We start from the raw sequence: 11399 nt of genomic DNA, 5'->3' as shown, positions 1-11399 counted from the left end.
TCCGAGGCAAGTCTGAGGTCATCAGCCAAGGGTGTCTGCATCGGACAACACTCAACTCGGGATTGGCACCCAGCCAGTGCCCTACACTATACAAGATGCCACTGTAGGGACAGGGATGACCTCTAGCAAGGTGACCCTCAGTGGGCCAGAGGGGGCTTCTGAAGAGAATTTCTCTAGCTTCTTGGTGTTTCCTGCCTGCTACTTTCAAACAAGGGTCCCATTTTTAATGTTTTCCCAGTAATACCTTATGAATGTTATTGCAAAGGTAAAGGAAATTATATTTTTGCTCTTATTGTTGTTCACTCTACTCCCATTTAGCAATTAACATTGAAAGGTAAGAAAACCAAGAGAAAGAGAGAGATTGCAATGTGGATATAGACGCAGATGTATAGAAATATATACATAGTAGAAATAAAAAAGGGTTGGCTATGGAGAAGGATACACAGATAGAGATAGCAAGACAGTTGGATAGACAGACAGGTTTTTTTTTTTTCTTAATAATAGGAACCAGAGGATGATCAGGAGGGTGAGGAAAAGAAAAAGATGAAAGCCCTGTCTAAGATGCCCACAAGTTCTCTAGTTTGCATTTGTTCCCTTGGTGAGCAGAAGGGTGCAAGTCCTCTCTTACTGTGATGTGAGGAACCTATATCATCCCAGGGCACAAGAGGGTGAAGTTGGCCATCTGTGCCCTTCTCTGCCTTGTACCCTAGGCACGCCCCTCCTGTAGATCCCAGTTTCTCTTTCTGCCAAAAAGGGGGCAGACCTGGTGAGTAGCTAAAGTTCCTTCCGGCCTGAAGGCCCCTCAAAGGTTTTCTCCTGTGCCTTCCCCACAGCCCGGGTCTGCACTCTACTGGGATTTGCTGGGCTAGATTCTCAGAGGAGCTCAACATTGATTGAGTTCCTCGCTCCACGTTAAATCTTTGGAAAATTAACTAAAGATCTCCTAGTAAGATGCTTGTAACTTACTACATAAGGTGAAATAGTGACTTTACAGTACAAAAACTATAACCCAAGTATTACCACCAGCAGCGGGCTAAATCAACACCACAGGCCCCGTGATCAATATATGTGATGAGGACATTACATCCTGGTGTTGTTGCCCCAAGTCTTGACGTGAATCTGACCACAAGGACAATTCGGACAACCTGAAATGGTGACGCATTCTACAAAATAAACATCAATGTCATGAAAGACAAAGACTCAAGATTTTCTGCTTAATGGAGACTAAAGAGATGCGACAACAGAATGCCAGGCATGATCTTGGATATTCTTTTGGCTCAAACAGTCTTAGGACAATTGAAAAAACGTGAATGAGGTCTGTAGCTAATAGAATTGTGTCAATGCCACATCCTTGGTTTTGTTAATTGCATTGTGGTTACAGAAGAGAATCCCTTTGTTTTCAGGAAATGCACACAGCAGTATTTAATAGTAAAGGCACATCTTGTCTGCAACTTCCTCTCTGTGTGTGTGTGTGTGTGTGTGTGAGAGAGAGAGAGAGAGAGAGATGCAACAAATATGGTAAATATTAATTTTGGGGACTCTGGGTGAAGGGTATCTTGAGATTTTTGTGCTCCTCTTCTGCACATCTGAAATCATGTCAAAAAATAAAAAAGGTGTGCACTCTGCAAGGGATACCCAGATACCCATGCAGAAGAGAGAACTGATTCAAGAGATGAACCCAGGTGGGAGCCACGATGATGCCCACTGGGGAATGAGCCTGTAAATCCAGGAGAGGCTGCACCTGCAGCCCATTCCTCCAGGGTGGTTCTCCTAGACCTGCTTCAAGTGTCATGGTTTAAATTCTCAGGCACCCCTTGGGCCATACTGACATTTCTATTGGCTTTGGGCTAGGAGGAGCTAATATGCCTTGCACATGATGATAGCTTGGAGAATGTAAAAATGCTGAGCTGTTATCACACCTAATGACATGATACCTGCAAAGACGTAGTGTGTGCATGGAACAGCGTAATGGAGTCCTACAGCCTTAAGCCAGGATTTCATGTGTGATACACAGTAGTCATGGCTGAAATCTTTCTCCAGTGTGGCTGCTCCCTCCTCATTGAACACAAAGCAAGTTATACAATTCAGTTTTAGCAAATGTCTTGTGAGATGCGCTAGCACAATCTTAAAGATCATGTGTGGGTAAAAAGAACAACCTCCACCCATACCAAGCATTTTCAGTGCCAGGCCCTACCTGAAACACAACCGTGATCTCCATTTGAGCCAGGAAAACCCGAACCATGGGGAGCCGCAGAGCCCGCCCCCCACCCAGTGACTCTCCGGTGTGTCAGTGCCAGGGTCTGAAGGTACTGAGGCTTTGCAGGCATCATCTCAAGCCAGCAGGGTCTGAAGCTACTGAGGATCTGCCAGCAACATCTCAAGACGGCATGGTAGCTCCTTCCCAGCACGCCACGCTGCCCTGCACCCACTGCTAGCTTCTGTCTATACTGCACTTGGCACTGAGAGCAATCCGATCAGAGGCAGCATGCGATTGCTTTGTTCCATTTTCCCAAGGCCCACTCACAGGGCCTGTAGGTACCTGCACGGTCCAGGTCCAGGTCCGTCATTGTTCAATCGAGCCACCATGAATTGGAACAACTGCATCTTTCAATCGCGTCCTCCAATTTGCCCAGAGCCATCCGAGCACAGATTCAGAACTGGATCTTTGCCTCTCTCAACAAAGTACACTAGGGGACTGAAGCATCCAACTCAAGTGTAGTGTTTTAAATAAGGAAGAAGAACTTAAATTCACCCACTGACCCATTTCCACAATCGTCAAAGTCACATGGCTTTATCGGTATTGTCATTTCTGTGTGAAACTTAGCTCTTACATGCTTAAAAAATAAGAATAATTGTTCAGATATGCTTGGGAACCAAAGAAAGAACAGAACTACTGTTTTCCCCACATTGTCAAACTCAAACAAACACCTGTGACAGATGAGCACCGCCTACTGAGGTCGCAGTTCACCTTTCTGCACAAGAGCTGGTGGCTTTGTTCTCTGTCTGGAAGGACTTTCTGTCTCCCTGTGCTGCGTGTCCTCTGGCCTCTTGGGCCCATCCTTCGACGCCAAACTCAAGGGACATATTCAGCCTTCATCTTTGGAGGGATGCCCAGGGACAGATGTGTCCACGGGACCCCCAGCACACAGACTGACCTTTCGGGGCTTACCCTTCAAAGGTGTCGTGTCATTTCCCTGTGCCCTGACCTCCACGCTGAGTTCCCTCTTTCCTTACTGGCCGTGGCATTGCATGGGTATAAGTGATTGTATGTAAGACAGTTATAGGATTTGTTTTCTGATAATCCCTGAGTTTTATATTTCTGCCAAAAGTTATAAGTGAGCAATCTTATATATACATCTGCCAGCTCAAATGGACACAATGTAGGCACAGGCATCTTGTGTTGAGAGGCATAATGGGGCCATCCCCGGGGTCTGCAGGGAAGCAGGCAGCAATTGATGAGGGGCATTCGTCCTGGGACGAAGGAAGGCGAGAAGCAGCCAGTATTTCCTGTTCTTGATACAATGTTACCCTGCCGCAAGGGTGGAAAATCCCACGTTTAAACCTGAAACTGATTGTTCCTGGCCAGCAGCCACTCCCACATCCCCAAACCAGGGGGGTGACTTACAGCAGTGCAGTGACCTGCCTGAATCACTCGAGCTCTTGCTGAAACGCAGGTTCTGAACCAGGGCCTCCAGGGCGGGGCCTGAGACTCTCCATTTATAACCAGCTCCCGGGTGATGTCTGAGGACCACGCCTTGGGTAGTGAGGACCTAGAGTGAGTGAATGAAGAGAACTTACACAACAGCCCAGCACATTCTAATGAGAAAGGTGACACCACCTACCCCTCTATCATTCACGAGCTTAGGACAGCTGGGTACCTCGTGGCCATCCTCAGTCAGCCCCACCTCTCAGGCCAGGGCCTGCTGTCTTTGATGAAACCCCTCTGTCCCTCCCACGCCTTTGCGCCTGTTATTCTCCAGCCCACCCTAAGTCCCCCATGAGGTGCTGGATGTCTCAGGCTTGGATCTCCTCATCACTGCCTCTCTTCTTCCTCAGTACCCTGGGAGCTGCCCACGTGGGCTCTCAGTGGCCCCTGCTCTCTGGCTTCTGGCAGGGGATCGCCCAGGCAAGGCAGGCGGCGACATCCCCCTCCTCAAATGGCACTTGTGTCTCCCGGAGAACTGTGAAGTGCAGGAGGCAGGGGGCCTGGGGAAGGGCCAGTGCCTGGTGAAGGAGGGCCGCTGCTATTATTTCTTAGAACTTTTTGTTACTTTTATTAAATCTGGAGGTTCCAGCTCAGTTCCCTCCTCCATGAAGCCCTCCTGGCTTAGCTCGACCTCCCTTAGTATCTTTCTCCTTTGAATGCACTCAGGGAATAACTTAGGCCCTTATTTTGAGCCATCTTCCTTCTTTTTGCTTAGTTGCCTCCAAGGCTCAGTATGGTCCCCTCGACACGACAAGAAGCTTCGATTCACTCACAGTAAACTTTTGCCAATGAGGAAAACCACAAAACACACCTGAAACTCAAATAACTCAAAAATGGTTTGAAAACAGTCTGTTTCTCTACGTCTCTCCCAGTGTTGGTAATACGTGTTTGGGGAAAGTGTCTAAAAATAATGAAATACTTTTTAAAATCTACTTTTAAAAGAAGCTTTATCGAGATATAACTCAAGTACCACACAATTCACCCATTTAAAGTGGACAATTCAGTGGGTTTTAGTATATTCACAGAACTGGACAACCCTCAACACAGTCCATTTTGGAACATTTTTATCAATTCAGAAAGAATCTGTGTACCTGTTAACAGTCACCCTTCCTCATCCTGCTGTTTTGAGCCTGTATTTAAAACACGAGGCAGGAAAAGACCATTTTACCGATGTAAAGCCCAGGACATATTTTTTGTTTACATTGTCTTTGAGGCTTATCCCTTTTTAAAAATTCACTGGCTAAGTTTCAGGAGAATCAAATCAATGGCATGAAAACCTACCTGTTTTGCAGAACATCCCAGGTCACCTGCCTCCTTGCACACCTGAGGGTTGAAGGAGGCCATGGCACCGTGGCATCCGCCACCCCATCTGGCTTTCCCACGCCTCTGGCCTCACCCCTGTCGGAGGTGAGAGCTGGTTCCTGCCAGTCTAGAAGGAGCTTTAAGCTCTGCCTCCTATGTTGTAACAGAGCCCGGGAAGGAAGCTTCCACTTGTGAGCCAACTGCAGGCTTGACGGACTCAAAAGGGTGGTGTGGAAACAAAGAAAACACTGTATGTTGAAGATGGTCAAGACAATCACAATGCTGCCATTTATTGAATATTTGCAGAGTGTCTGGCATACTGCTAAGAACATTACATGCATATCTGGTTTAATCCTCACGACGACCTTCGGAGGTGGATCTTATTAGTTTGCCTGAGTTTACTGCTAAGGAAGCTTAAAGGAAGAGCTCTAGTAACTGCCTGGAGGGTCTTCCCTGATCTTCCCATCAGTCTAATGATCTGTTTGGATAGAAGGAGGGATCAGTCTGAACTGGATGGCCTTCTGAAGTCTTCAAAGCTCTCAAATCTGAGAATTCTGAATTCTACAAAATCTGAATCATAGGACGCCCTTTGAATAAAAGCGCTGGATCCTTTTAACCCCAAAAAGAAGGGAGATGTGCATGTGGGGGGTGTGGAGAGAGCCTATTTTTAATGTAAGTCAGGAATGTCTGCTATGTGTGGATGACATGAGGGCTCTCAACCTCTGGGAGCCTGTCCCCAGGTCAGCCTTGGTGAGTCTGGCCCCAGCTATGGGTGCCTACCTGGGTTTTCACCTGTTCTGAGGTTTACTGTCCCCCACCTGCAAGCATGAGGCCCAGAAGCTGCCATCAGCCTTTGGTCTCTGGTACAGGCCCTTAGCTGTGAACTCACATTATTAATGTTAAAGACATTGATGTGACTAGCAGTGGTGTCCCATGTGACCATTCAAGATTCCCAGTGGCTGGAGACAGGACTCCAGATGTGGCAAGGGTGACAGGAACCCCTTTCTTCACTTTTAAATGGAGTGAGCCAATAGCAGAGGCATGGAGTCAACCTAGGTGCCCATCAGTGGCGGACTGGATGAGGAAAAGTGGTCCATACATGCCATGGAATACTACATAGCCATGAAAAATAATGAAATCATGTCATTTGCACATCACGGATGCAGCTGGAGGCCATTATACTGAGCAAATTGACACAGGAACGGGATACCAAATACTCCATGTTCTCACTTCTAAGTGGGAGCCGAGCACTGAGCACACATGGACATAAAGATGGGAATGATAAACACTGGGACTAATAGACATGGGAGGGGAGGAGGGAGACAGGGCTGAAAAACGATCTACTGGGTGCTGTGTTCGCTACCTGGGTAATGGGACCATCTATACCCCAAACCTCAGCATCATGCAATATTCCTATGTAGCTAAACTGCACATGTACCCCTGAATCTAAAATAAAAGCTGAAACCATTAAAATAGTATAAAACAAATTTTAAAATGGAGTGAGCCTCACTTTATAGCAGCCATTCAAGCTGAACTGTGGAAAGTCTCTACTGGATCCGGAGCCTGTGGTTGACACTAATTCCCATTGAGCCCGTGAATCCCCACATGTGCCTTCACTCTCCACCTACCCAGAGCCCCCCTCCTTTACAGTGTCCCCCCTTAGAAGTGTCCCCATCACCTCTAAGCATGAGGCCACTTCTGAAGTCCCAGAACATCCCAGGTGGTGTGACCAGCTGTGCCTTATCTCCGGTGCCACTGCTCTGTGAGGAAACCTGACCTTCAGAGAAAAAAAAAACCTAAGTAGGAGATAAGCACTGCAGAAATTTTAGAAGATACAAGTAAGGAGAAAAGAGGGAAGAATGCTCATCGGAAGATAACCACTTGGGCATATGATTTGGTGCAGCCACTTTGGAAAAGAGTATGGCAGGTCCTCCACAACCTGGAGCAACCCTGGGACCCAGTGAGTCACTCCCACCTATCTACTCAGGAGAAATAAAAATGAACTTCCATGCAAAAATAAAAATAAAACAAATAACGTTTTGCAAACTTGTAAACAAATGTCCACGGCAGCTTGTTCACAATAGCCAAAAGTGAGAACAGCCTAAATATCCATCAATGATGAACAAAATATGGTCTTTTTATACAAGGGAATGTTCCTCAGCCACGGAAGGAAGGAAGCGCGGGTACCCCCACCACACACCATGAGCCTCAAAAACATTGCGCCGAGTGAAAGAAGTCAGACACGGAAGCCCACGTGTTGGTCTTCAGGAGGAACAGCAAGTGCAGGCTGGACACATGTGGTGGGCCAGTTAAAGTGCTATGAAAGCAGTGCCTTCAGCAGGGCCTGTGCACGTTGGCCCCATCCCCCTATGGTATTTAAGACAACGTGTTCTCATGGCAACCCTGGGATTACTCCCACTTTACAGACCCAAAGAGGCTGAGTAATGTGCCCAGGGCCCCACAGTGCATCCACACTGAGTCCATGATCCTCCCTGCCCTGGGCTGGCTCTCCATGGCCCCCTTGACTCATCACTCAACCCCCAGCCCCCGTCTGAAGACCCAGGCATGGGCATTTCAATACTCTCCATCAGCACCATTCTAACCATCACCCAGTTATCCCACGGGACATGACACAGAGGCTAGACTCAGTTTCAGGACCTGTCGCTGTCCACTGGAAATTCATTCATTCCCCAAAAGCAGAGGGAAGGCAGTGGCCCAAAGGCCCCAGACACAAAGCTGGGTCCTGAGCACAGCAGTGAAAGGGGAGGTGCCCACAGCCCTGCCAGCATCTTCGGGGTGTCTGGCAAGGCTGGCCAGTGGAACCAGGAGGGCTTGTCCTGCTCAAATATTGACCAAAAAAGAAAGCACAGCAAGGCATGGTGGCTCACGCCTGTAATCCCAGCACTTAGGGAGGCAAACGCAAGAGGATCGCTTGAGCCAAGGAGTTCAAATCCAGCCTACACAACATAGCAAGACCCTATTCTCCATACACACACACAAAAGACGGAAAAGAATGCAATAATCCAACAGATGATTTTCTAAAGCCAGGGAGACAATAACACTTTTGTGATTTAAATTCTGAGCAGCTCTACAGCTCCAAGAGACAGAAATTAGAGAAGCAGAGCCACTGGAAGCATGACTCGTTCTCTTACAATGAAGTGTTGGGTCCCATCAGTAGCTGGAAGGCCTGGAACTGTCAGTCATGCCTCTCTGAAGATGCCAGGACCTGAGGTGCTTTCTCAACAGACCAAGACAGGATGGGGACCCAAAGGGTGGGCTGAGGGGGTACTTTGAGCTTGTGAGCTGCTAAGCACACAGAAAAGGGTCCTGTCTAAATCCTGCGTCCATTTGGGATGTGCACCATGGAAAGGGGAGCAAACAGGGCTGCCCTGGCCTCTGCCCCTCAAAGCCGGGTGTTCCCAAGCCCACTGGGTCCTTGGGCTCATTGTGGCTCGGCACCCCCCGTGGCAAGTAGGGATGCCTCAGAGCCTCCTGGGCTTTTGGGCATGACCTGTCTGTAGAGTACTCTTGGGGCTGAGGCCAGCAGGATGGGGCTGGCTTGGCCGCTCAGAGGTTCCCCTGAAGGAAGCCGCGGGAATAATGGCCAGCGCCAACAGAGCAGTTGCTGCGAGCAGGCCCCTTAGGAGCCGTCTTGGCAAATCCTCCCAGCACCTCGCAAGCAGGTCCTGCTGTCACTCACCTCTCGTGATGCCAGCGCTGGGCTGCCTGGCCTTGTTCCCTACAGCTTATAAGGAGGGAAGCCCCAGACCCCCCTGGGCCTCTGCATGTGGCTCTCGTGGGAAACCCTGTAGTCAGGACCTGCCTCCGAGGCGGGAGATCTCGTCAGCAGCCGACCACGTCCAGCCACGCCAGCACCGCAGCCAGGCTCTCTGGGAGGCACCAGCATCCTCACACCTCACTCTTCCCTTCAGGGTCATGACCGCGGGTCCAGCAACCAGCACCGAAAGCTCGTGGTCACAGTGGACGGACCAAGGTTCCCCAGCCTAGAGGGCATCAGAGCCAGACCCTGGGGTTTCAGCTCCCTGCTCAGGAGTGTGGAACAGGGGATCCACTTGTCTTTTAGTGAGCCGTGAGGTGCATGTGGGTGTATATGTGTATATGTGTGTGTACGTGTGTGCATTTTGTGCATGTATGTGTGTGTTATGTGGTGTGTGTGGTATGTGGTATATGTGTGTGTGGTGTGCAGACATGCGTATATGTATATGTGTATATCTGTGCATGTGTGTATATGTGTGTTGTGTGGGCAAATATGTGATGTGCATTCTATGTGTGAACATATGTGCATGTGTGTGTACACGGTTTGTGTGTACATCTGTGCAAGTGTATATATGTATGTGCCGGTACATGTGTGTAAAGTGGGTCAGTGGGTTGTCACCAAGACACAAGGCGACATGACGCACGTGATGTACGTCTACTCTTGCCGTGCAGCAGGTCTTGTCCAGGGTTTTCCTCATGGACCAGTGCCCAGAGCCATGTGGTACAGAGGCCACCATGGGCACTCACACATGGGATGAGTGACCAATGAGATGACTCTTACAGCAGGAGACCAGCTGCCAGGTGCCCTCGTGGTCGCCCTGTGAGGAGACCTGCCCCCGCCAAGGAAACTCCTGCCCAGGGCAACACGGACGTAGCCCCAGGTAATGCACCCAGCTGCGGGGGTCCAGGGGCAGGGCAGGTGAGCTGCCACAGCACCCACGGGAGGGGAAGCAGGGTGCTCGGGAGGGAGGAGGGGAATGTTGGCATCAGGAAGCCCTGGCCCCAGACCTGAACCCCCAGCTGTGACTGAGAAGTCATATAGCCTCTCTCTGAGCCTCAGCTCTGCCATCTGTAAAAGGGGATTTATGATCTTTTCTTCAAAGAGCTGCTGTGAGGGTTAGTTCAGCAAATAGCTAGGTAAGTCCATGACAGACACGTGTGTGTGCCTGTGGTTGTATGCACATGTGCGTGTGTGTGCGGAATCTAACACAGAGCCTGGCGTGTGGCATGCACAGGTGCAATCAGTGTTGCTCGTTCATGTATTTTCCCAGTGCGTGCTTATTAAGCTCCTACTGTGTGCTTGGTGGTGCTCCAGGTACTGGGGATACGGAAGCGAACGAATATGCACAGTCTCGGCTCGTGTGTAGTCAACAGTCTAATGTGGGAGTCAGGAAACAAGTGAGGAAACAGCCAAGCAAATACTGTGTGTTCAGTAATGACAAGTGCCATGGAGAAAAAAGAACACACAAATAAATCCCAGGTGAGGGATGGAAGGTGATTCATTTTGGGGAGACTCTGTTTAGATGTGGGTGTTCAGGGGAGGCCTCTGGAAGATGGTACCGTCTGAGCTCAGATCTGGATGACAAGAAGTAGGCAGCCACACAGAGTTCTGGAGGGAGAGCATTCCCACTGCAGGACCAGCAGATACAAAGGCCCTTGAGTGGAGCAACCCCGTGGCCCGAGAGCACGCCAGATGTCCAGGGCACATGGCTCAGACATCAGGCACTCAGGTTAGTGGCACACCTGGCACCTTTCTGGGCCCTGAAGCCACCATCTCCAGCCTCACTGCTTCCCCTCACCCTTAGGGAGGAAGATGGCTGTAGCTGGCAGTTGCCAGCGACAGGCTGCACCTGGATGTAATTTCTCCCCCGTGTTAATTGGCAGAAGGTGGGAGAGGGGAGAGAGGAAACAAAATAAAGCTTCAAAGTTTGGCTGTTCCTCGCGTTAATGCCCTCTCCGGAGCACCAAGGTGGGGGCCCAGTGGCCGAGAATGGATGCCCCAAGTCAGCCTCATCATCTCATTAAATCAAATTAACGGGCACAGCAGGAGTGCCGGGCCCCGAAACAGGCTGCTTCCCTGCTGTTCATGAATAGCCTGTCTTGTTTCCCTTCAAAAATAATGTCTTTAATGTCTTGACAAAAAACCCCTCTCTTCTGGGATATCCAAAGTTAGCAAAGAATTGAGCTCCAAGCAGCAAAAAGCTGAGTTGGTGTGCGGTGTGCAGTTTCCACTTCCTTCACTGCCCCCTTCCTGCTCCATCTGAAGGAAGGGGCAGCAGATGACGCCATGCGGGAGGGGGCTCTGCCAACCTGTCCCCATCCCTTTGTTCCTTTGGACAGCTCTGAGCACCCCTCCAGCCTCCTCTGCCCCACCTTGGCACAGGAAAAGTGTTTGGAGACTGGTCCCTGGCCCTGTCCATGACCGGTGCTCTTTCAGGCGTTTTCTTCTCCAATTGTCAACGGTGTGTTCTGGGAGTTTTTCTGCCATGAGCCCTGCTTGCTGGTGGCTGCAGGAGTGCTGAGCGTGGCGTGGTGGTGGCACAGGGCTGCCTGGATCATCAGCTGCCTCCAAGAGCGATGGCTCTGTCAGCTCCAGCAAGGGGCCCATGAGTTC

At 49.8% G+C, this 11399-nt stretch overlaps 1 long non-coding RNA gene across 1 annotated transcript; it reads left to right on the top strand.

Moving 5' to 3' along the window:
- Positions 1–70: 70 nt before the first annotated feature.
- On the top strand, positions 71–1346 carry LINC02189 (long intergenic non-protein coding RNA 2189). The gene is made up of 2 exons (NR_135181.1): positions 71–265; positions 1027–1346. It is a non-coding gene; the product is annotated as a long intergenic non-protein coding RNA 2189 (long non-coding RNA).
- The last annotated feature ends 10053 nt before the right edge of the window (positions 1347–11399 follow it).

The sequence above is a fragment of the Homo sapiens genome, chromosome 16, assembly GCF_000001405.40.
Source record: "Homo sapiens chromosome 16, GRCh38.p14 Primary Assembly".
Lineage (NCBI taxonomy): Eukaryota > Metazoa > Chordata > Mammalia > Primates > Hominidae > Homo > Homo sapiens.
The sequence above is the reverse complement of the archived record's forward strand: the minus strand, read 5'-3'. Positions and strand labels throughout refer to the sequence as shown.